The sequence below is a fragment of the Homo sapiens genome, chromosome 3 (genome assembly GCF_000001405.40).
Source record: "Homo sapiens chromosome 3, GRCh38.p14 Primary Assembly".
In the NCBI taxonomy this organism is placed as follows: domain Eukaryota; kingdom Metazoa; phylum Chordata; class Mammalia; order Primates; family Hominidae; genus Homo; species Homo sapiens.
Window position 1 is genome coordinate 85,717,170 of NC_000003.12, and position 27,707 is coordinate 85,744,876.

The window sequence follows — 27,707 nt, forward strand, 5'->3', positions numbered from 1 at the left end:
CTTGAGCAGTGGTTTGTAGTTCTCCTTGAAGAGGTCCTTCACATCCCTTGTAAGTTGTGTTCCTAGGTATTTATTCTCTTTGTGGCAATTGTGAATGGGACTTTGCTCATGATTTGGCTCTCTGTTTGTCTATTATTGCTGGATAGGAATGCTTGTGATTTTTGCACATTGATTTTGTATCCTGAGACTGCTGAAGTTGCTTATGAGCTTAAGGATTTAGGGGGCTGAGATGATGGGCTTTTCTAAATATACAATAATGTTATCTGCAAACAGGTAATTTGACTTCCTCTCTTCCTATTTGAATATCCTTTATTTCTTTCTCTCCCCTGATTGCCCTGGCCAGAACTTCCAATACTATGTTGAATAGGAGTTATGTGAGAGGGCATCCTTTTCTTGTGCCAGTTTTCAAAGGGAATGATTCCAGCTTTTGCCCATTCAGGATGATATTGGCTGTGGGTCATAAATAGTTCTTATTACTTTGAGATACATTCCTTCAATACCTAGTTTATTGAGTGTTTATAGCATGAAGCGTTGTTGAATTATATCGAAGGGCTTTTCTGCATCTATTGAGATAATCATGTGGTTTTGTGGGGGTTTTTGTTTGTTTGTTTTTTGGAGACAGAGTTGTACTCTTGTCGCCCAGGCTGGAGTGCAATGGCACTATCGTGGCTCACTGCAACCTCTGCCTCCCAGTTTCAAGCATTTCTCCTGCCTCAGCCTCCCAAGTATCTGGAATTACAGGCACCTGCCACCACGCCTGGCTAAATTTTTTGTATTTTTAGTAGAGATGGGGTTACACCATGTTGGCCAGGCTGGTCTTGAACTCCTCACTTCAGGTGATCTGCCCACCTTGGCCTCCCAAAATGCTGGGATTACAGGCTTAAGCCACCACGTCCAGCCAGAAGTTAGTTTTTTAAGGATGTGTCAATAAATATTTCTTACACCTAATAGTGTTCATGTCATTGGTAACATATTCTGAAGTGTGTATATTATATGTATATATAACCCATAAAAATTAGCCATTGAGAATATGGGGAATAACATGAAATGAGGTAAATCATCAACACTCTATTATGTTCCAGTTATAGATTTAGGGTATTTCTAAAATAGCTTTTTGGTTTAGTAATGTAGACATAAAATATAACTTCAAAGATTGCCCGTGTACTTTAGTTATTGAGAACCTTTTATTCCTGTACTTCCTTAAGGCTTTTGTAATAATAAATGGTTGAGACATCTAAGGGTTTGCATTTATCTTACAGAGTCACTTTTAGAGGCATGAGTTTAAGTTCTATTCTTGGCTGGAAAGCTTCCCTTTGTAACTATTGGGACAAAAGTCATAATCTTACAAGGAAATTGGGAAATATAGCATAAGAAAAAGAGATTTAAAAATTGGTACTGACTCATGAACTTTAAAGAGATGTTTGAAAGCAAAAGGAATAAATATAGAAAAAGATCATGTAAACATTTTATGTATAAACTATTTGTACTAGAACCATGAAAACGGTAGAGTGAAAAAAATTTAATATAAAATATCAGTTATTTTGCTATGTATAATTCAGTATTTATAAAGTGAGAAAACAGGGAAAATAAGTAATTATATAGATTACTGAAATCTCAAAATACACACAAAAAGTAGGTAAAATCTTACAATAAAGTTCTGTTTCACCTCTTTGGAAACAAAGTATTTATTTTATAGAGGAAATTAATGGTATTTTATTATTATTATTATTATTATTATTATTATTATTATTATTATTTTGAGACAGAGAGTCTCACTCTGTCAGCCAGGCTGGAGTGCAGTGGCACAATCTCAGTTCACTGCAACCTCCACTTTTCACATTCAAGCAATTCTCCTGTCTCAGCCACCCAAGTAGTTGGGATTACAGGTGCCCGCCACCACGCCTGGCTAATTTTTGTATTTTTAGTAGATATGAGGTTTCACCATATTGGTCAGGGTGGAAATATTCCATGTTCTTAAGACAGCATTTCATAGCCAAAATTACTTTCATTGTGCTTGTTTGTGTTGCACATATTGTAAGTAATTTACACATATGATAAATTGACCTCATTCTATGCAATTATCAATGGGTAGCCAACGCTGAACTATTTTATATACATTATCATATTAAATCATAGGAAAAGATGTGTTCAGAAATTGTAATACAGTTTACCCTTGAACAACATGGGGGTTAGGGCCACTGACTCCCCACCACAGTCAAAAATTCAAGGAAAACTCCTAACTCCCCAATAATTTAACTACCAATAGCCTGCTGTTGACTGGAAGCCTTATTGATAACATAAAGTGTGAATTCACACATATTTTGTATATGTATCATGTACTGTATTCTTAAAGTAAGCTAGAGTTTGGAAAATGTTATGAAGAGAATCATAAAGAGGAGAAAATATATTTACTCTTCATTAAGTGGAGGTGGATCATTATAGGATCTGAATCCTCATCTTCTTCACATTGATTAGGCTGAAAAGGAGGAGGAAAAGAAGGAACTGGTTATTCTATCTCAGGGATGGCAGAGGCAGGAGAAAATTTGCTTGTAAGTGGACTCATGCAGTTCAAATCTGTATTGCTCACGGGTCAACTGTACCTAAAACAGGAAAACATCCAAGTTTTACTTAAATATTTAAAACATGTTAACAGTTTTTTACTATCAAAAATTTCAAACACATACAAAAACAGGAAGAAAATATACTAAACATTGTACATCCCAAAATTATTATGAAATGGTTTTCACAAGTGTTTAATTTTGTAAAAAAAAAACAAAAAACAAGACTTAAAAAATATAGTCACAGTACTCTTATTATCCCATGTAAATATTAACAATAATTTCCTAACACTATGAAGTATCTAATGTTCAACTCAAGATCCACTGTAGTCTACACATGATAATTAATTGATGTGTCTTTTAGGTTTCTCCTCTAACTGGTATTTTCTGCCGTGAAATTTATTTGCTAAAGGAACCAAATGGCAAAATTGTGTGTCATTTCTCACATTCATTATTTTACTCATGGCCTCATTTGACTATTTTTTTTGTCCCCTGTATTTGTTGGACTTTGGAAGTTCAATGTAGAGACATAGTGCTATCCAGTTTTCATTATTTTGAAAAAATTCTTCCTTTGTGGTGTTGTGTCCATCGCTGAGGAGGAATATAATATCTGGTAGATTCCCTTTTACTGATATTACCTGAATGGTAATCATTGCCTAAATATGAGTATTTGCTAAAATTGCAGAATGGTGACTTTCTAATTCTTTTATTTCCTCTTTGTTTAGTAGCTGGAGTATTTCTATTAAGAGTTATTTCCATCCATCCAATATTTGGCTATGTAACTCCATAGCAAGTGTTTCTTTCTAAAACATTTTAAACCATTTTTACACTTTTTTCCTAGTATGATATTTGTGTGATTAAGAAAAAATAAAAACTAGTGAAATAAATTAAATTCTCACTTTTTCAAGTCTTTGAATTCTAATGAGGCTTAGAAGAAAATCTAGTACTTAGACAATGTTAGGTGATAGTTAAGAAAGATGCTATTTTAATAAGTTTCATGTGATTAGTGAAAAAATGTGTTTAACTTTGTGTTTGATGATTAAAGAAAGAAAACAAAAAGAGGAGAAAAGGTAGGCAGTTATCTAGCCCTCTACAGCAGATATTTTAATTTCTGTGTCTTAAAAGACAGTAATAATGTACTATCTGATAAATTAGATGTAGTAGAATTTCCCCTTTTCAAATCAGTGTTATTTCAATCATAAAGGAATAAAAATCATTGGTTTGTTGATTAACATTGCTGTGTTATATAATAGCTAATGGTTACTACATTTCGACGCAGTAGATTTTAAAATATATATATTCAGAAGTGTGTTTTTTCTCTGTAAATTCACCACTGAAGTGCTTTGTATTCTAAAAATGGCATTCCTCTTCTCTGAAGCACAGTTTTGTTACATGAGTGATCTCATTGTTTTCACTGTATTTATTCTGGGAAGTAGTGGCAATGCCATTATTTTAATAATTTGTAGTGTGTACTATAAGTGTAACTTTTCATATATGAAAACTTTATACTGCACAGCATCTTCCAATGGCAATGTTTTGTTTTGCTGCAAATACATTTGAATCAAGGGAAACATCTAATATATCTGAATATGAAGTTGTTATGGGATCTTTGGGGTGTCGTTTTTCTGGTCAGAAATTTCTGTGGCTGGTGGCACCTTTCCTGTGTTTTCCTCAGGCCTGCTGGGCTCATTTCACTCACTTGGCCTGGCAGGATGCACTCGGCTCACACTACTGGCCTGGGTCTCATGACTGCCAAGGGCGAGTGAGGTGTGGAATGGTGAGGGGTGTATGTGTGAGATGGGGTCCAGACACTGTGCACAGTCAGACATGCCAGGTGCTCCAGCAGGGCGGGCAGCTCCAGGTGCCGGCATGGGCACCAGCTCTCCGTGAGGCTGCAGCTGGACCAGGTGCACTGCAAGAAGCTTCCACAGCTGGCACCGGGAACCAAGGTAGTGCCTGGAAGCTTGGAGACTCTAGGAACTGCAGGGCCCCAAAGTGGGAGCCACAGCCCTGGAATGGGGTGCTCCCAGGTCTTGGCTCCCCGAAGGGCCACAGCTCTTCTTTTCTTGTCTTCTCCCACAATGTGGCAAGCAAGGAGCATGTCTCAGCTCTGTTTCTGTTACAGCTCTTTTAGCCTCATTTGTTGGGTACTGAATTCTTGCTCCACACCCAGGAAGAATGAGACATGCAGAAACATGGAGGGTGAGCAAGTTGAGGAGGAGCTTTATTGAGCAACAATAGGTCAGAGGAGGCCCTGGAGTGGGTAGTTCCTGTCTACGGGCAGGTTGTCACATAGAGTGTTCACCTCTCAGCAAGGAAGAGGCTCTGGAGTGAGTAGCTCCTTTCTGCAGCTCGTCTTCCTGACCTCCGCAGCTCTCAGCAGAGAGGAAGCCCTGAAGTGGGTAGCTCCTCTCTGCAGCTGGTTATCCTGATGTCTGCTACTCCTAGCAGAGAGGAGACCCTGGAGTGGGTAGCTCCTCTCTGCAGCTGGTTATCCTGGTGTCTGCTACTCTTAGCAGAGAGGAGACCCTGGAGTGGGTAGCTCCTCTCTGCAGCTGTTGGAATGGCAGTGGCTGCTCCACATGGACTGCCACTGCCATCAAAATCATAGATGTCAGGAATCTCTGTCTCTTTAAAAAATCTAAGCTCTAACTCTATTGCCTCCTCTTTTAAGAAAGAATTGTCCCTTATCTATAAATTTTTGCTTAGGAGGAAGGATAACAGACACAAGGCCCAAATCAAAATATTTCAATAAAATTCTACATAATCTTAAAATACAAAGATCCATAGTGCTTTAGCTCTCCCTGCATAAATACCAGTAATGTCCTTGCTAACTATTTACAAAATGTTTCCTTGACGAATAACTTTCTAACAAACACTTCTAAAGGCACCAGTAAATCCAGTAAGCTCTATATTACCCATATATTGCAAATAATGTTAAAAATATATGACCCTTGTGTTATGACAGTAAATGTTAAAATAAGAAGCCAGAATAAAAGAATAGCAAAAATGTGACTAGTCATATCAGTCTTGAGACGGGTGAAATTTATCTAATCTCTTCTGAGAATGCCTTCATACCCTACTAATAGTCCCTGAATTCCATTTCAAGAAATGCATTTTAAGAGTCCCTAAATCTTTGAGAAAATATTAGACAGAGATACATCTTCCAAATAGCCAGACAAGTGTCTAATTTAAAACTGATTAAACAAATCAGTAACCTAGTCAATTATATTTGTACTTTATGATTATTTGTACTGATGTTTTTTCAGATAAACTTTATTAATATAATGACTAACATTCACTAACCCTTCAGCATTTCTACATAAATAGCTATGGTAATTATTTTATCATTCACATGATTTTTCCTCACATATATATACGTGTTTTCACAAACTTATGTAAAATCATGTGAAATCAATATTATAATTCTCACCATTTACAATTTTAATATTATAACGAACAATCTCTGAAAAAAGTAGTATGAATAATTGTGTTATAGTAACAATTTGCTGCTTTTATTATAAAGACAAAAAATGGTGTCATATCTAAAACTTTTCTCTGGTCAAAGTATCTTTAATTCTGTTCTGTTTATTTTATCTATAAACAGTTAAAATTGCATTTTTAAGATAATTTTCGGTCACTTGGGGTGGTGTGCAATGTGCACTTTACAATTGACTTCTAATTGGACTATGCTGACAATGGAAAATCTTACAAGTATTGAACATGACATTCATGACAGTATTCCTGTCATCTTGGCTTCTTTTATTGAATATGCAGAGAATTATAATTGAGCTAACAAGCCTGATAGCCTGGCCTCTTTCCAATTATATTAACCTAGTCTAGTATTAGCTGCCGGCATACAGAAACAGGCATAGAGCTTTTGTTTTTCTTTCTATTCTATGTTGGTACCTGCCCAACAATCAAAGGATAAAATCCTCTGTCTTCATACAATGTTTGAGAATTGTCAGTAACTTATCTCCAATCCACTGATAAATGTAAAGATTAGCTTTATCCATCATTATTTCACTAATTTATGATAAAATGATTTCTTATAAAAGATTGGTTGTATCTGTTACATGTTAGATGCTAATTAATTATTATTGTTCCAAAACTTTATAAGGTTTTGGCATGTTTTCTTTGAATTCATGCTAAAATTTTTCAAGTGATGAATTTGAGTTTGAAGCAAATTTGTTCTTCAAATGAACAAGTCAATTTATTGATGCATTGTAATCTTTCCTTTGAAATTGAGACAAACATTATTTTAGCATAATCTAAAAATAACTCAGTCTTAAAAACAAACAATACACACAAAAAATAACTAAATAAAAAAGGAAAATAATTTTAAATTATTTTCACTTAAAATCCACTAACATTTTACCAAGGAATCCAATTAAAACAAATAGTAGGTAAAGTTAAATAAACCAATTTATGATTTTAAAGATATGAAGAATTTGTAGTGTATCAGTTGTTTGAAATAGTAGATTCTGTGCTTTACTTTCTCTCTTCCTTTTTTTCTCTTGTTTTAGTGATCTCTTATTTTAGAATATGTAATATACTTGCACACTTTCTCTCCAAATATTTCCAACTCTTCCATTTTCAATATTTAAGTCTTCATCTTTATCCAGGATTTTCTGAGTAGAAATGTGAAGACAACCTGGAAATTTATGTCCTGAAGAAATAAAGCACTACAACAGTGCCTAAGAGATATGCCATAAAGATGCATGTTGCAAAACTGTTGTTAGCAAAAAAAAAACAGAATACAGCAAGATGCTCCCAAACCACAAACCTGTTGATAATACAAAATAGTTCCATACTTCATATAAACTACATAAAAATATGCAACTATTAAAATGAATAAGTTAGCACTCCGTGTTTTAACCTGGAAATGTGGGAAAAGCAGACTGCAAATTAATGTGTATAGTAAAATCTTCTTCTGGAAACAAAATGCACACTTTTTTTTTAGGTTTTTATAAGAACTGCAAATTTTATTTTTTATCGTTAAGAAATTGCTGGCATTGATTATCTCAGTTGCTGACATTGGAAAGGAAGAGGGGATATTGTTTACTTTGCTATATTACCTGTAATTTTTGATATATATCAATTTTGTACTTAAACAATTAAGCCAAAACATTCATTAAAGGAATGTAGATTTTTGATGAAATTGAATTTTAAAACTTAAGTTTTGATATTAAATATTTTAGTGGGCTTTAAATTTTATGAATTATTGCATCATAAGTAGTAAATATATCAAAGAACAGATAATAGTTACACTTTGAATTTTAAGTTACTTTAAAAAAAATCTTCACAATAATATTGTAAGTAGTCTACCACTTTGTCTATGTCCATTTGAGAGCTGTGAAATAAAAGAGTTTGAATGGGTCAAGGACTTAATCCAGATTTCCTAAAATAACTTTGTTTTTAGTTAAGATGTTTTTGTCTGGTAAAAATTTTATTATTTTAAAACTAGGATGTTCATTTTAAAATAAACTAGTAGCATATATATGCAAATAGTAAGGCAGTTTTTGTTATTGTAGATGAAAACAAAAATTATCTGTAAGTAGCCTGGTATGTACACAGACTTTCTAAATTTTTTTTAGCTCCAGGCAACTTGAAAGAATGAAGTCGAAATTAGAACTTTTCATGTGTAGTTCATAATTACTAGATCTAAAATCTATGTTAAATTTTACTAAAGGTCAGTCCACCAAACAAGACTGCACATTTCCCAATTAGGAGATGGACTATTTCCTCCTTAACATCATTTAGAAAGCCAGAACCCATTCCTGCTTTTGTCTATCTTCATTTTTCAATAGTAAGTCAAAGTAGACTATATCACTTCAGAAGTATTTAGAGGTATCTAATTACGCATTTTGAACAGAAGTTTTCCTTTGAGTAAGGGACTGTCCTGTAGGACTGTTCTAATTTTCTTGTTAACTTGACTTCTGCTTTAAACAATGTTTACCACTAGATATAAGCTTATACTTCAGCTTATTAATGGAAATAATGCCATTTAAAGTAATACAGTTTTCTAGTCTCATGTTTATGTGTCAACCAAGTACCAAAATTGCTGGAGTTTAGTGAATCATATAATTTTTATTTGGCTTTGTAGAACTGATGCTTGCAATTTAGTGGATCAATCAGTTCCTTAAATACCAATAGCTTAAGGTAATATTTTACAGCACAGATTCTGGAGTCAGATACACCTAGAATCAAATCCCAAATCTGCTTTCCAGATGTGTCATCTTCAGCAAGTAATTTGACCTTTCTCATTCCCAGTTTCCACATCTATGAGGAAGGGCAACAAAACTTACTTCTCACAGTTGTCATTATTAAGTGGTAGATGTATGGAAAGTCAGTCTCTGGCATTTAGAAAGCACTCAAATGATGGAAGTGGCCTGCTTTTCTAGTTACTCAAATATCATGGGGTTACAATCTGATTGTTAAATAGTATTAAGTATATTTAAACTATATATAATTTTAATTGATTATTAAATAAAATTTAGAGTTAAGAAGAACTTAAAGTTATACATTCCATTAAAGGAATATGGTGACTTGTAGTGTTTGGAATGTGTAGTACATGGCTCCTGTCTGCTCTTACTTTGTCTTACTCAAGGATCTTACTCATAACACTAACTAAATGTAACAATAGTCATTTTGTTTCTTAGGCTGTTGATCATGAAATCACAAATGTACTCTTTAGACTTTAATAGCAATAACATCTCTGCTTTCTTACTAGAGAATCTGTCTAATATCTAATATGTTTGTTCTCTTCTTGTGCAACCTTTCCTTGGTACCAGCGGCTGCTTCAAAGAATAAAGTTAAAGGTGAGCTCCTGTTTATTCTGCATGAGTCATCATCATTCATTTTTCTGCTCAATCTTCTAAGTTCTCTTAAATGATAGAACCAATTCGGTTGGTGATAATACTATTTCAGTGTATAGATATTGTTCATAAATTCCTACAAATACAAATATCAATTATTTCAGTTATCCAATTTCTGAGACATGTTTGCATGAATGTTTGTGAGTTTGTTTTCTTGTTTCACTTCTCACTTTATTCCTAAGTATTTCAAAGTGCAATAAAGTGCTTTTTTTGCACTAACATTTTGCATGCGTACCTTAGTTTCCTTGATAAAATTGAGAATTGGGCAAAATACAGCATAAAATAAAACTGATGGAAAGTCTCAAAAATGAGTATGCTTTTATAGAATTATGTGAAAATAAAATTTAATCTTCTAAAAACTGAATATTATAAGCTATCGATTTCTATTTATGATTATTTTTTCATTTTTAGTTGCATTGTTTGACTTTGCTAGAAACCTAAAAATGTGTTTTCATGATAAAAGATGCACATGTCCAACGCTGAAAATAAAGAAAAAGTATTTTGGCTCCATGTGTCCCAGTTTTTATGGGTTTGAAAAATTCAAATACATGTATGATACTGTATCATAGACCTATCATTTATGTATTTCAATTTCATTCTGTTTAGAGCAGTCTACATATTTAAAAATCTTTTTTGCTTTTGCTTCTTAAATAGCAAAAGAAATTTTTTTCTCTTTCAGTTCCAGGTTCTAGTTTTACAGCTAGTTTTAATACTATGACATACGCTCATCTTTGAAGTGTTAACTATTCCCTATTTATAAAGTCAAGCCTTTATCATACAACTAATATTGTCATAGCAATGTATTTGCTTATAGAATATGAAATATTTAAAGGAGGAGATGGCAAATTTATTGTCACCTTTCTTATAGCTCACCTAGCCTTGTTTCCTGTTCCAGTAAGTGTTGTGGAAAATCAGCCAATCCTTGCCACAGTAATTTTCTGTCTGGCTGTGAACAAAATAAATACATTCACAGCAATTCAGAAATTATTTGATAATGAATACATGTCTATAAATGTATAAGCACAATATGTTTATATAATGAAAGGATGAGAAGTGTAGTTTTAGGAATGAGGAATTACAAACTATACACACTGCACCAGCTCCAGGGTACAGCATATGAGTGTAAAGGGAACCAGGGGGAGATGCATATCAGCACTGGAATCATCAGAGACCACTTTATGTAGGAGGTGGAGCTGGAAGTGGCTCTTGAAGGATGGATAGGATGTACATAGAAAACAAGTAGTGTATTTAAAAAAATAATTAGAAAGGCTAACTAAAGGTCTGGAAACAGGAGTGAATACAGTCTAGTGTGGTGAGAAAATCTTTTGAATGAAACCTGGTACTTTTATAAGAAAGTGTAGAAAAATAAATTCTAAGATGATGCAATAGACAATGGAGTGATTATGAGTCATTACAGTATTTGATCACATAAAACCTCTAGTAATCAATTACTCTCCAAAACAATGGAAAATAATTTGAATTATAATACGCAGGCTGCTAAGTATTAAATATGGAAAAGCCATTTCATCATTGGAGAATTATAGTCATAAATTATATTACAGGTATCTGTCAAGTCATTTCAGGACTCAAGCTGACTAGAATTTTATAATGCAAGCATATTTCTGTATCCAATTTAGTGCCTTCCACACTTCCATCCCCAGTGTTCCACACTTAGCCATTTTATTTGACTCTCCTCTTTTTACTTGTATACTAGCCTGTAGGGGCCTTAACACATAGCTTTCCGCATGCTTATATTTTTGCATCTACAAGGCAAGCAATGACACGTTCAAAAATTAATTGTGCCTCAAGTGGAAACTGAAATTTTATTTCTAACCATTGCTGAAGAAAGATATATATTATGTAGAGATAATAGAAAGAATTACTCAGTGATTTTTTGGTCCAATTTCTATATGAAGGCAAATGGTCTTCAAACAGAAAAAAAAAAGTGGATAAGAGGAAAATAAAACCCAAGATAATATAAGAGCAGATGGTTGCTTCAGAATAGTTCATTTCTCCTGGCCCAGAAAAAGTACTTACCAGGGAACCGAGAGAAATTTTAAAGAAGATTATATCTCATTTATCTATCCTTATGGAATCACGCAAATGTGGAAAGTTTCTGGAATATTGGAGAGAGGAATGTGTTCTGATTTTTTGTAAGGAGTAATGATTTCATTTCCAGAAACCATAAACTGGTCATTTTGACATCAATTTCCCAGTAAGATTTTTAAACACTCTTAAAACAACAGTTGGTGGGTATTTAGGTTAAAACAGAGTTCATTGAGAATCAGTCAGAAATTATTAGTAATAGCATAGGAAATTACACCTTCTTTTTTTAAATGTGAGTTACTATACCAGTATAGGAGGGCAGTAGCATAGACATAATATACCTGAATTTTATCAAATAATGTAGCAACTAGCTCTTTGCTTATTTCTGTAGAAACTTATTCTGAAGATCACTAATTATTCTCCAATGGCCAAATCCAAGGGTGGTTTCTCAATCCTCATATTGCTATTTTTTTCCTGATGAACATATTATATTCTTTTGAATTTACATTTCCTTTGGTTTCAGTGGCACTGTACATACTTCATTTTTTAAAACTTCTCTTTGCCTCTTTCTTTCTCTCTCCATTTATATCTTGTTCTGAAATACAGGTTTTATTCAGGTTGTCTTTGATTCTTGAAAAGATCAACTATTGTAGTGTAGGTTCAGCTTTCCACACTGCCTTTGAGAGATAAACTTCACTTCCTACAAAATAAAGAATGGGGCCATTTTCTAGACAATTGTGTACCTGCAACCAACCTGTCTCACTATTGTTGCCTGTCAAGAGGAACATAAATGACCCAGTCGAGTTGCTTCTCAGAAAACTTATAACTGGGAAAGGGCTAGAGAGAGAGAGAGGGAAAAGTCAAGGAGGTAAGACAAAGAAACAGAGATGGTTGATCAGTTCTGTTACTCTTCACGCGTAAATTTTGTATGTAGATTTAATAAAATGAATTAAGGTTGACAAATGCCACAAGAAGGAAGGAGGACTCTATGAAGAGTGAGAGATTGAGAGAGTACTCTGCTGGTGCACTAGCTTCTTGGTCTAACGTATTGCTAAGGCTCTATTTTATCTTTACTCTCTGGGTCTATGACACAGATGTCTTTTAATAAAAATTTCTAGATAGGTTTCTCTTGCTTAGAATCAAAAGAGAAATAATATGAATGTTTTCTTTCTAAGGGTTTTTTCATTGACTTTGTTACACTTTTCTGAACTTGACTTAACTGTTAAGCTTTTGTCTGATATTTTCATCACCCTGCTGAATATTTCCACTTTAATATTAGAAACCGATATTCTTATTTATTTACTTATTTTGTAACTAAGAACCCTCTGGGTTTGCTATATGTTCTCATGACATGAATATTAGTCCAATTTTCTAAGTTTAAAAGATTTGAAATACCTTTAACTTCTCTTTCTTAATGGCCCTCTCATCCAATTAATTATCAAATTGTCCTAATTTTATCCCTATAGTGTCTTTTGCATGAATCCTTATTCTTTGAATCTCTCATTCCTGGCCGGGTGCAGTGGCTCATGCCTGTAATCCCAGCACTTTGGGAGGTCAAGGCAGGTGGATCACTTGAGGTCAGGAATTTGAGATCAGCCTGGCCAACATGGTGAAACCCCATCTCTACTAAAAATACAAAAAATAGGCAGGTGTGGTGATGGTCCCCTGTAATCCCAGCTACTCAGGAGGCTGAGGCAGGAGAATCTCTTGACCCAGGGAGGCGGAGCCTGCAGTGAGCTGAGATTCTGCCACTGCACTCCAGCCTGGGTAACAGAGGCAGACTCTGTCTAAATAAAATAAAATAAAATAAAATAAAATAAAATAAAATATAAAAAATCTCATTCTTCAGAGCTTGCCTGAAATAGTTTCTAACTTGTCTCCTGATTCAATTCTCAACATGCTACATTTGATATACAAGTCTATCCTACATTTGTATATCATGCTGAATTTTAACAAGATCATCACTGCTTTGCCACTTAGAGGAGAAAGGTACTTTAAAGTAGTCTTAAAATTTCTTTGTATAAAATAATTTTATTTCACTCTGTTATGCATGTATAAAAATAGGCTAAATGTATCTTAATGACTGCTCCAAAATGTTACAATTTTTTAAATAGCTTTAACCCAGAAAAAATATTTTTAGTCTTTAATCCTGATTTGGGGGCTTTATTTTTAAGCAAAATTTGGCAACTATAGTTCTATGCTATTTCTAGAATGCCAGCTTTTAGATATTATTTTCAAAGCGAATGTCTTAAATCTCAACAATCATGTAATCATTATTCAGTGCTCAAATAAAAATTAACATAATTATTCTGACTTTGCTTAAGAATTAAGATAATGCAGAGCCCTTAGCTATCTAAATTGAGATATATATGGTTCAAAGGAGAATCAGTATTTCAATTTGCTGAGTTTGTTAAGTAATAGTCATACATAATATTATCACATAAATGATTTATTCATAGGAGAATATTATAAATCTGCTATAAAGCCAAAATATGACATTTGGAATCCCAGGCTACCCATCATATGAAAAATTTTGGAGGTTAATTGAAAGGCATGTAAGAGGCTGAAGTTGAGACATTGCTTCAAACTATTTTGAGATTTTTATCTTAAGTCAGGTGCCTATATTTTAATTTGTATCATGTAGTATTTCTTATATATTAAGACTTACATTTTGTAGTCAGACAGGAATATGTTGAATCTTTGTTTTGCAACTCGCTAGATTTGAGCACCTGGACAAATTTTCATTAAAGTTCACACAACATTCAGTTGTGACAATTTTATTGGATAAAGCACACAAAAAAGGATTGACATAGGGAATGGAACACAGTGAGCACTTAGTAAATTGTACCTATTATTATTATTACTATCACAATTTAAATTATATCTGTGGGAAAAATGAACAAACACAAAAACATGTAGTCCTAGGTAAGTCCCAAAACTAAAACTTTTCTGTAAGTTTCACTATATTTCCTCTTCATAATGGCATTCATATGTTTATATTCATTATAAGACTAAAATAAACACATACAGTATAAGATGTGAATGATCCACTAGGTATATGTTTTTCTTTCATCACCTTTAATATTAAAAAACAAAGTACATAAATGATATTATTAAATAATTTCAACCACAAGTGAAATAAAAAATTTGAGAAAATTATGACAAAGAGAGGCTTATATAATACTTAAAATGTAAAAATATCCTGCTTTTATTATCAGTGAAGAAATTAAGTAATGAGGCCATAATATATTTTTTTTGAAAATATCACTTAACTACTTTTTTAAAGCTATTTTTAGATTGTAATTTTAAAAGTGGGCCGGGTGTGATGGCTCACACCTGTGATCCCAGCAGTTTTGGAGGCCAAGGCAAGTGGATCACTTGAGGTCATGAGATCAAGACCAGGCTGGCCAACATGGTGAAAACCCATCTCTACTAAGAATACCAAAAAAAAAAAAAAAAAAAAATTGCTGAGCGTGGCACACGCCTGTAATCCCAGCTACTTCAGAGGCTGAGGCAGGAGAATCACTTGAACCTGGGAGGCGGAGTTTGCAGTGAACCGAAATCACACCATTGCACTCCAGCCTGGGCGACAGAGGGAGACTCTGTCTCAAAAAAAAAAGAAAAAAAGTGTAAGACACAATTCAAATTCTTGCATAACAGCTACAAAATCTTCATAAAAAACGAATCAGGAGTCAATTATTGAAGTTTATGCTTATTCTACACAAGACTGATCTAAGGAAATATGTGTCAGGGGCGTTAGACATATAGAAGGGAATTTAAAAGCATATTGTATTTCTGTAACACATATTTCATTTAGGGATTCAGGTGGAAGACCCCGAGCTAGTACCTTTAGGAAGATTGCCTTCTAAATCTACCTTCTAGTTCACCTCACTTCTCTAAGAAAATTGCTGAAGACACTGCTATATAATAGTGCAATAATGTTTATTAAGATATATTACTGCAGCTTTTTTCTAACTTTTAAAAAAGTAAGTAACAATGATAATTATAACAGCTAATATTTCTTAAATGTTACCATGTGTGAGACATTGTGCTAAGCATTCGTAGGTGTTTTCTCTTTCAATCCATACAAAACCCTCTGAGATAGGTACCATTTTATCGTCATTTTCAAAATGTGGAAAATGAAGCAGAGTTAAGAAATTTAAGTTCACAAAATGAGTAAGAGGCAGGGCAAAAATTCTAAGCCAGACATATTAACTCCTGAATTCAAGCTTTTAATCTATTAAATCCTCTAAAGAGATCAGATTAATCAATATTACAACTTACCTGAATCTCATTCATTTAAATGCATTTACATATATACCACCCACCCAGATGGGAGTAGGGTTGGGAGTAGGGATAATATAGCCTGATGAGTAGCTAGCAAGAATATATTGGACCAGCTTAGTTGGGTCCACTGGCCAGAAAAATATTCTCCAGGTAAATCTGGCATTTCTCATTCTTTTAAAACTCTCCTTCTTCTAGGTCTGTCATTCACTTACCTTATGTTAACCTCACTTATTCCCTCTTGGGAAAGTGAGAAGGTAATTAGTTTCTCAATAAGATGAGTAAGGTTCTAGAAAAGCTTCAGGCACAGCTAATGTGAAGTGCTGAACTCAGAAGAAACAAACAGAGGTAAGGAGTGTGCTCATAAAAATTTTATTGTAAGATGACCCAGTGGGTCAAAATATAAGTAATTTTAGTTGTTTCTAAAGTGCAGCTTCATTCGATGTGGTTTCTGTTTCTTATTTCTCACTGTATAGGGATATTGACATGCATTTGCTCTATGGATTATCTCATTACTTTCTGTTGCATAACTGTCCCCTTTCATGTTGCAAAGTACAAACTAGTCTGGGTCACAATGGAGAGAGAGTGTTATATATTCCATTTGCAAGTCTAAAATAATATTATTTCCAATTGATTTAATGGAGGTGCATTTTCTCCATCTCTCTTTGTTTCTTGAAATGCAAAAATAGGTTTGAGCTTCACTGTGCACATGTGGATAAATACAACTCATTTGCCATGAAAACAAGGCTCAATTTTGTATAGCAATTAGAAATCAGTTTAAGCATTGCTACTTTAAGTTTGTATCCTCATTTCTACAATAAATAAATCATTATAATACTTTTTTATTCTGTCTAAACACATCTCATCTGAAAGGCAAGATCTTCTGGGACTCAATTCATTCAGTTGGTTCATGTCATTCTATTATGCTAATAAAATTGGTATTTGCTTATTCTACAGCTTCTGTGTGGGGGTTTAGAAAGTCTGTAATTAAATTCCCAAGATTTGTGGCTTCTTACAGGTTTTGAAACAGAAAAAAGTCTGTAATAAGGAGAAACAGAATGATCAATGTGTAGCAGTTAGTGGGACATTTTTAAAACAATGCTACAACACCAAAATTTAAGTTACACTAAAAATAAATGTAATTTACTGTATTTCAAATTTGATGGAATTATGGTTACATATTTTTAATGAAAAAAATTAATTTATCCTGATATATAATGGTTATCACTGGCAAAGTGTACAATTAAAAAGCTTTGGGGAAAGTTATCAGAATTCCTGGGTTCTAGGGTCTGTTCAATTATTGATTTGATCTTCAATCAAGCATCACTCTTTGGGGACACTAAGACCCTGCTGCTTTGCTCATGGTCAGGAAATTCAATGCCCAAATAGGAGAAGTCATGTAATATCCTATATAATTCCTAAGAGATATTTCCAAATGAGAACACATGGCACTCTCAATGCAGGGAGACTGTATATGAATCCTGCCTTACCCCCAGTGTGGTCTATTTTGGAGGTACACAAACATTTACATGTAGCACTATGATAAGATACAATGGAGATTATATATATATAATTTGACACATACACACATACACACACATACATATATATATACATATATGATTATATATAATTTGACACATATACACATACACATATATATACATACATATATGTATATATACATAACTCACCATATCTCTCTCTTTTTCTGCCTTTTTTCTTTTTAAATATAATATGTATATTTTAAATATAATATATATATTTTAAATATAATGTGTATATCTTTTTAAATATAATATGTATACATACATATATGTATATATACATATACATAACTCACCATATGTCTCTTTCTTTTTCTGCCTTTTTTCTTTTTAAATATAATAGACACGTTAAGGGAATCCAAGTTTTAAAAACTCTTAGTCATTTTCAGGAGATTTCTTAAAACAACCCACAACATAGTAAGAGATATAGTAAAAGAGCATTTCTTATCATCTTTATTTGTTCTATTTTAAAATGTAGCAACTAGAAATATATATATGTGTGTGTGTGTGTGTGTGTATGTGTGTGTGTTGTGAATATGTTCTTTATTTTTTACTGCATGGAGCTGTCATTCACTCAATAATTCAATCATTTCTTTACCCAAAATTTCCAGGGACTCCTGGAAATACATCAGTTTAAGAAAAAAACTTACATACTGTCGTATGTTACAATGTAGTATCCATTATGAAGAATAAAGTGGAAGAATGAGTTAGGAATACTTGGGCAGAGTAGAAAAGACAGTGGTTCTAATTTTGAGTCGGTAGACCAGGAAAAGTGGACATTTGAACAGAAAATTGATGGCGAGGAAGCAAGCCATGCCAATGGAAACAATCCAAGAAGAGGAAACAGCAAAGACAAAGGCCTTAAGGCAGAAAGTGGCCTAACTTATTTGAGCAATATTCAACAGCCCTGTAAGAATAGAAAAGCATGAGCCTGGGACAGTATGTTAGAGAGAGGGTCATAGAGGGAATGGAGACACAGGTCATGTAAGGATTTTTGGTATCCTTCAAGTGAAGTAGAGAGCCATGGGAAGTTTCAGCAGAAGAGAAATGTGCACTGACTTAGTTTTAAGAGGATCAATTTGGTTGCTCTGGTGAAAAAAGACTGCAATGAGAGTTGTTTGGATGCTTTTCCAAGAATCCAGTGGAAAATGTGATTATAATAGGATGAGAATCATAGCACTGGAGGTAAAGTTATATCTAGTAGAATTTGCTGGCTGGAAGTAGGACATGATATAGAGAATGGAGTGTAGATGTTTTGTTTGTTTTGTGTGTGTGTTTGGTTTTACTTGAAAACTGGAAGGACAAAGTTACATTTACAAGATCGAAAAGACAGGACTAACACAACAAAATAACGACAGCTCAGTTTTCATCATGTAAAGTTGAAGAGACCTATTAAGCATTCATGTGAAGATGATAAGTAACAATTGGGTTAATAAATGTGAAATTTAGAAGAAAGTTCTACACTTTAGATAAACTATCTGAAAATCATGTGGACAGTCAATAAAAACATGAGACTGAATGAGCTCATCAAATGCATGAGTATAGCTAGAGAAGAAAGCAAAAATGTTAGGACTTGTGGTCTCACATACTCCAGCCTTAAAGAGATCAATCAGATGATGACATACAAGCAAAGGTGTCAGAGAAAAAGAAGAAAATAAAAAAGAAAATAAAATAAAACGAAAGAAAATGTATTTAAAAAGGAAGTGGTGTTCAACTGGGGCAAATGCTCTTCATAAGTCAAGATAGATACAAATGGATTTAGCAATGTGGAAACAAGCAATGTAACCTTGGTAATTGCCAATTACTATACGATATATAAATTAATCATATAATCACCTGAAGAAATGTAAATTTGCTACTGCAAAACAATGGTACAATAAGATTCAACTACAGGAAAATTCACCATAGTGAAAGAAGGCTAGGAAGATTTCTTAGAGAAAATGATGGTCAGAAAAATGCTGAATAACTAGTGAGCATTAACTGGGCAACAGAGGGAAGAACTGCCCAAGTCAAGGGAATGTCAGCAGGGGACTAAAAGACAGCAAGTAGAGTTTCTGGAGAACATCAAAGGGAACGAGGGTTAAAATTAGAGGGGATAGATAGGCAGCCCATGCAGTGCCTTGATATTTACAGGGTTTTCTTTTTTCTGTTGGGTTTTTTTTCAATTATTATTATTTCCTTGTTTGCTTTTTTCTTATTCTAAGAACAATGGGAAGCCATTAAGTGGTTTTAAAAGGGAATGGGGTAGAGATAGGGGTGGTGGAATATTCTTACATTCACACTTTGAAAAAGATCACTGGCTGCTCATGAAAAAACAGATTAGTAGAGACTACTATAGATGACAAAGAGAAAAGGTGAATTGCCTGGAAACTTACAGTAGTCCAGGGAGAAATAATGGTAGATTGGCCCAGAGTGGTCAGTGGTAATGTCAGAGAGAAATTGGCAGATTCACGAGAATAGAAATTCCTTTCAAGAATACAGTTGAAACAGCAGTCAGAAAAAATTAACTGAACTTGAATTAAATAAGTGCCCTTAAATATTTGTGAATTATTTAAAACATTTTGTTATTCTTCATTTATCTTCATTGCCATCAGTACTGGAGACCAACAAGCAGACACCTAGAATGACAGTCCTGATCTTGTCCTCATGTTAGCCCACAGGAAAGTACATTTATGGTGTACTGTGTAAGACAAGTGAAAGTGAAGGGAAAACCATAAATTTTATTACTGGAATAATAAGATAAGAAGATAAGATCTTCTTTACCTAAAGTAGTTCTTGTCTGTATTACTGATTCTCGTAATCGAAAATTTCATACATATAAACAATTTAGGTGGGAGGAAACTTTATATTAAAAATAACTTGTCAAGAATGACATGCCAAACAAAGCTCATGTAAAAACTGCACACCTAAATTGTATATTCTAGTTGTTTCTATTTTGAACAGGGCAGATGAAAAGTTACTTGTACATTTGATTCTTGATTATCATGCAATACAAGGTTATTTTAATGACATCCAAGCAGCAACAATATATCTGGCCTAAACTTCGAAAGAGTCATTAATTTAATTCATTCTTTTCTTTCTTTTTTTTTTTTTGAGACGGAGTTTCTCTCTGTCACCCAGGCTGGAGTGCAGTGGTGCCATCTCGGCTCACTGCAACCTCCCTCTCCCAGGTTCATGGCATTCTCCTGCCTCAGCCTCCCGAGTAGCTGGGACTACAGGCGCCCACCACCATGCCTGGCTAAGTTTTTTGTATTTTTAGGAGAGACGGGGTTTCACTGTGTTAGCTAGGATTGTCTCGATCTCCTGACCTCGTGATCTGCCCGCCGCTGCCTCCCAAACTGCTGGGGTTACAGGCGTGAGCCACTGTGCCAGGCCTAATTTAACTCACTCTTTATGTGTTTTCCCATCTTGGCCAAGCAAAAATTACCTACCAGCAGAACAGGATTTCAAAACGTTTCCGTGTAATCTGTTTTCTCTAAGATGGGTTAATCATCTGATGGGCACTGAGTTCACTTAATAAGCATGCTGTCTAGAGACAAGGCAGGAATGCTATTTGGCCTGAACAATCACCAAATAGTTCCTGAAGTCATTACCTTACACCTCAGCCAGAAGTTATCTTGGGAAAGACAATCAAATCTCTTGGCTGCTTACCCAGAGTTTGAGAATCCCAGTAACGTATATTCACAATGATTCACAATGGCATAGGATTGTGATAGCAAATTCAAATGGAAACTAGGAAATAGAGAGCAAATATCTGTGTATATTAGACACAGCTTCCCCTAGAAATAAAGATAGATGCTCCTATGTAATCTGATGTTTGATTCATTGAAGACCTGAATTCTGATTGTCAGCAAATAAAACATCACTTTTCATGCATGAAATATTTTTTCCTTATAAAACTGAGGGATTAATTTAGATTTAGGTAAAATATAGCTGAGATACAAGATAGGTTTTCAAACTCTTTACAAGCCTTTTGGGAAGTGTTAACAAATGCTTTGGGATTTTTCACACTCAAATGTTATTTAACACATCTGGCACAACAGGTGGCATGGCCAGTAGGTCATTTCAGCATGATAATTTGACTTCATATTTATTAGAGCAAAATATGTGTTTAATGAGTATTTCTTTTATCACTATTTCAATCATCATAACTCACCATATCTCTCTTTCTTTTTCTGCCTTTTTTCTTTTTAAATATAACAGACAGGTTAAGGGAATGCAAGTTTTAAAAAGTCTTAGTCATTTTCAGGAGATTTCTTAAAACAAACAACCCACAGCATAGTAAGAGATATACTAAAAGAGCATTTCTTATCATCTTTATTTGTTCTATTTTAAAATGTAGCAACTAGAAATGTATTTAGTGACACAACAACTCATTCACATTTAATTATTCATCTATTCATTACCCAAATATTTGTTGAGTTTATGTGTAAGGCCCTAGTCAAAAGTAGTTGTAATATACAGTTTATATTTTAAAATTGATTCCACCACTTAACAGATATATCAATCTCAATGATTTAAAATAAAGTATGTATAGTACCAAACATGAATATATGTTTAAAATTTAATTTTGGCAAAAAATTACCCCAGGAAAATAAACATCACCATTTTGCCCTACATGATGACATTTATCATTGGCTTCCTAAAACATAATGGAAAGGAAGTTTGCATTATCACTTTATATATTCTATTATTAAACTTTCACTTATACTGATTTCCATACCCAAATAAATCTTGACAGAATAGAGTCATACTGCTTTGTTGTTCAAAAGTTCTCTGCAGCCTTAAAGGTAACTGTCATCTTGTAAGCAATGTTTCAAAGTAGATTAGAGTCTGAACATTAAGTTTTAGATGTCAATTATCTTTATAACTTATAAAACTGATAGAGATGAATACATTTAGATACATTCTATGTTATTAAAGTTTAAACAAATTAATCAGGATCTGTTTTCTTTTAAAATTATATAACTGCCTTAGCTCTATTGATATTTGTAAAAATATAAATGCAGAATTCAGAATTAACCCTGCATAATTAGAGAAGAGGAAAAAGTAACTTAAGGGGAATAATAATGTTGCTGAGAAATGAATAGGATGACAATACAATGATTAAAAATTCATATAAAATGCAAGTTGCATCAATTATAAGGAACACAGTGTGAAAGGGTGTTCCTATGTTGAAAGATAATAAAAACTATTTTAATTTTAAATATCAAAGCATTTATAGTTACAGGTGAGGAAGCACTGAAAATAGATAAAATTTAACCATCTAAATATCAGAAAATATATCAGCTATCTCATATAACATAAGCTATTATTGGTAACTTTAAAAACAACAAAAGAATGTCAAGAAATCAAAAATTTTAAATGTGAATCCTTATTATCAAAGCTTGTGATAGTGATGCCCAAGTGTGCATTCAAAACAATTACTTTTTTTCCAGCTATTTAGAGTAATATGCAAAGTGCAAATGGGAGATGAAATATTTAATTCTTATTCTCGCAACTGGATTCAGCTTAATCAGTTTTACCTTAGAAAGAGATCTGTTATGAGTAACAGTATTAGATGTTAAAAGTAGTCACATGCAGTTAATGTCAGGGTGAAACAACTGAAATCAAAGGAGGAAATTAATTACATAGACATTCTAGTTGGAATCCAGTTGGCATGCATGATCAAGTGGGTCACATTTTGTTTTCTAAGGAATTTGGTAAACAAGTCTGTGTCTTTTGATATCTGTACACAGAGTGTACTATTGCTACTCATTTGATCTTACAGAATACTATAGTCTTCCATAGGTTAACTGATTGTATGCCCTATCTGTATGCCTTATTCCAGTGAGCCCTGTAATAGCACTTGGTCCAACAGCTTCAGTAATAAAGATAATGAACTCTTCCTGGCACTGTGGAGGTCAAATGATTCATAATTTTCAATACTAATTCCAAAGACTTGCTAATGTGACCACTATTTCAACCTAATTGACTATTCTTTAGGTTTGTTATTTGGAAGGCCTTAATTTTTGCTCTATGTTGGTATTTATCATTATTATTTGCACCGTCTGTCTTGTTTATTCTCCCTCTTTTTTTGCTTCTTTTTTTCTTTTCTTGCAACTATAAAGAATATGAGGCCATAATCATTCTCTTTTTGTATCTATGCAGTTTACCACCAGATCCTGCAGGTTTTAAAATTATGTAAGAATTCACATTGATATTTAAGAGTTTCAAGTCCCGAAACATCAGCTGGCTCCCTTCAATTAATTGCTCTTTTTCTGCACAAGGAATCTGCCCACACAACTTACCTTGATGTACTTGGAGCCAATTTCTTCTGACTCACTGTAGCAGTTCTGTAGCTTTCCGGCTGTGATTAATTCTCACATCTGATATTAATTTATATGCTCACTCTTAAGTCATATACTCTTCATTTAGATCTTGGTTCTATACTCACCTGATCTAGCAGCTTTATCCAGAATAGTCCAAATAAGCCTAGGTAATCCTAGTTCAGGACAACAATTCTCTTTCTTTCTCCAAATGAACAGGCACTTTTATGTTTCCAAGTGCCACTGAAGCATCAATTTACTGAGATACATAGCAGTTAACATAATTAAATTGAATCACACAATGAGCTTTGTTGAGGTCTGAAGGAATTAATAGAACTCCAGGCAAAGAAGAGGTTAAAATTTTTGAACCATTTTAGCTAAGCATCTGAGATGTTTAGATATCATCTTCTATTTCAGTATAAGGAGATCTAATTTCAGCCAATCGCTGCCCTGTTTATATTTTGGAAACTTCTCCAAATAATTGGAAAATGCATTAGTGCAAAGTCACTCACTCCTGTCTTTGATGATTTATTTCCCCTCAAGAGAAAAAAAAAATACAATGACATGTTATTTAGTTGCCAAATAAAAAGTTGTCTCAGCCTGGCGTGGTGGCTCACGTCTCTATTCCCAGCACTTTGGAAGGCCGGGGCGGGGGGATCACAAGGTCAGGAGTTCGAGACAATCCTAGCCAACATGGTGAAACCCCGTCTCTACTAAAAATACAAAAATTAGCTGGGCATGGTGGTGCATGCCTGCAATCCCAGCTACTCAAGAGGCAGAGGCAGGAGAATCACTTGAACCCGGGAGGCAGAGGTTGCAGTGAGCCGAGATCGTGCCATTGCACTCCAGCCTGGGCGACAGGCAAGACTCTGTCTCAGAAAAAATAGTTGTCTCACATATGGAAAATTCCATATCTGTTCCACTACCACCTTTATTATTCAAACTGAGATTTAAAAATCAAATATACTTGTTACTCCACCCATTTAATTTTGTATTCTCCTCTTTCATTCACTTAAAAAATAAAATTGGAACTTATTTATTTTCCTTAAAAAATCATTCTATACTTCACAGAGACTATTGGAAACTACATTTCATAAATCAGTTGAATTATAAGGAATCATGCAGTGAATTCCTAAACCCCAAACACTCTTTTTTTATAGCTTTTACTTCTTTAGAACTTCTAGACGGATATAAGTTACTTGTTTGTCCAGTAACTTGACTGCTTATTACATGTTTACCACTGCTGTAGCAGCTAGATTTGAAAATAAAGGACGTTTTCCAGCAGTACCTAACGCTTATGGTCACATTATAGAATACAAAAGCACACACTGACTTTTTCAGGAGTTTTAAAATAAGTATATTGTTATTTTATTTTCCTCTTTAGAGGCTTAGACATTGGTCAGAAATAGCACTGTGGCAGTCATCTAGTGGTTCCTATGCCAGGTTGCAGGCATTGGCCTGAGAGGTATTCTGTTACATTCAGTGGGTGAATTCACCTGATGAAGCATGTTATAGATGTTATACATACATGTCTTTCTACCTATGTTAACCTTCCCTGAGACCTTGTGTGGGAAAGCCACTATAAAGACATATTCTAAATAGGTCACTCACTGTCATGATCTGGTTGTGTCTGTCTCTCCATTATGTCTCTCTATTATCCGCAAGTACATGATGGACCCTTAAGATAATAAATTAAGTTAGATTGGTATTTTAAAATTTAACTATCAGAGGCTTAAATTATAAATGAGGTATAAATTGCTGTTTTAATTAATATTATTTGATAGAGTAGTTATTTCAGAGCAAAAATTAAAAAAATTGGAGAAATCATGAAATATAATTTTGCAAAACAGATACTTTGAAGCTATGTTGGCAATTACAGCATGCCTGAAATCTATCTAAAATTTATCTTTTCCACATTAAAATATTTTTAACTATTAATATGATCTTAGCATTTCAGGTGGCAATCCTGTGACATTCTTCATATCCAAAGACAAAAGCCATCTCTAGGACACAAATAAAACTTTCCAGTGGAGCTTGCTGGAGCACTTCTCGAATTCCTATCCAGCACCGTCATTCTACAATCTGTTTTCTTTCAAAGGGAATATATTTCAACTGAGATTTTTCCTCTTTGACTGCATGTTATATAAGTACTTCACTGATTTAGTTCTTTCTACTAGGTGATCACATTTTCCTTTTTCTGAGTCTACCGATTTCTGCAATTTATGGACTGAGCATCTCACACTACTCTCTGGGTGGTTTATGTAAATAACAATAATAAAAGCCCCTGAAGCTGCATCCCTGTTCCCAGTGGTTTCCCACTGACCTCTTTCAGCTTGAAAAGGTTCTATCTATTGCTGATTTTTTTTTCCTTCCTACTGGCAATTTTCAGCCTACTGTGCTTCTTCATCTCATTTCTTGACTCTTTCTTGACTTAAGAATTAATTATTGAAATGTATCAGATGCACTCTGAAAATGTCAGTGTATTTAGTTGGATTTACAAAAAAGCACAGCTTTTCAGCCAACATGATATTGGAAGTGAATATCAAGTAGCACCTTTCTCCACACATCCTTTTCACAGGCAACAGAAAAACATAAGGCAGATGATCTATACCATCTCTGAAAAGGTTTGTGCTGCATAAGGACATTTGTCTCTATCGCTTTAAAGCATAATGTTTACCTTTGCATTTTAGTGCCTTTTTTCCCATTGAAACTTTAACAAACACTTTGTATAGAACTACAAGAGACTCACAGAAGCTGTCCATCTATCCTCCTGCCTCCTAACCAGCCTGGGGCTAATTTAATCTATCCAATTCAGACAGTTATTGATCCCAGTAAAAAAAAGAATTCACTACCTCCCTTGTATTGGGTAGAATATTCTACAAACCTGTCCTCACAAATCCAGATACAGGAATTCATACACTGAATAGCGCAAAGAGGCAGCTTTCAAGTGAAAACAATTTAAACTCAAAGGTTAAAATCACCTCAAAAGAGATTCTAAAGTATTTATTAAAACATCTCAGGTATAGATTTAGGAAGAAAAGAGACATTGTAAGTCATAAGAGAAAATTTTAAAAGATATTTAAATAAATATATATTTAAGTAGTTAAGATTTCATCCATATTAAATTGTAAAATAATTATTAGGCAAGTTCTACTTTAGGTACTTCTGTTCAATGGTGTATACAAATAACAAAAGAGACAAAATCCCTAGCCTCATAGAGCATATACTCCAGAGGGGGAAGACAAACAACAATAATAGCAAGATGAGTAGACATTCTAGTCATGTTTAAAGGTGATTAGTACTATGAAGAAAACACAAGGAAGGGATCTGAGACATGCCTAGTGGTAGGGCAACTGCTACTTAAACTGGAGTAATGGAACTCATGGAGAGTACAATGATGGTTACCAGAGGCTAGGAAAGGTAGTGGGGGATTTAGGGGATGGGACAAGGAATGACTAATGGGTACAAATAAATAGTTACAAAGAATGAATAAGATTGAATATTTGATAGCACAATGGGGTAACTAAATTCAATAATAAATTTAATTGTACATTTTTAAATAATCAAGAGTATACTTGGATTCTTTGTAACACTATGGATAAATGCTTGAGGTGAAGGAGATCGCATTTACTCTGAAGTAATTATTACACATTGTGTATCTGTATCAAAATATCTCATATAACCCATAAACATATACATCTGCCATGTACCCACAAAAAATAAAAAAATATAAAGATAAATAATAAATAAATAAATAAATAAGTAAATGAAATACTCGGGGTAAGGTCTTAATGAGAAGACGATGTTTGGACAGAATGAAGGTGGGGAGGGAGCAGCCATGAGGCTATTGGGGGATGAGCACTATGAGTTAAGTATAAGATCAGAGCAAGGGCCCCAAGGCAGGAGTATGCTTGCCATGCTTAAGGAGCAAGGGGTCTGGAATGGGTGAAGAAGATGGAGGCCAGGATCAAAAGGAAGTCAGGAGGAGAGAAGAGTGGATGAAATTGGTGGGGTAACAGGACCTGGTTGCATGGGGACAAGTAGGCCAGCTCAAGGGCTCAACTTTTACTCTGAGTGCAATGGCAA

The 27,707-nt window shown here is 34.0% G+C and overlaps 1 protein-coding gene across 17 annotated transcripts in view; it reads left to right on the forward strand.

Annotated features, from left to right (window-relative positions):
• Positions 1–27,707, forward strand: part of CADM2 (cell adhesion molecule 2) — a 1,115,441-nt gene that overhangs the window by 758,181 nt on the left and 329,553 nt on the right. For 7 of the 17 annotated variants that reach the window (NM_001375961.1, NM_001375960.1, NM_001167675.2 and 4 more), the window contains one exon: positions 9,353–9,379. The exons of 8 other annotated variants lie outside the window; for them this stretch is intronic. Coding sequence is in view for 7 of the 9 variants with exons in the window: in NM_001375960.1 (NP_001362889.1) it covers positions 9,353–9,379 (27 nt within the window). In the remaining 2 variants the exon portion in view is untranslated. Of the gene's footprint in view, positions 1–9,074; positions 9,380–27,707 lie in introns of those variants that run through there. 2 more of the 17 variants (NM_153184.4, XM_017006063.3) reach the window with 1 other exon arrangement.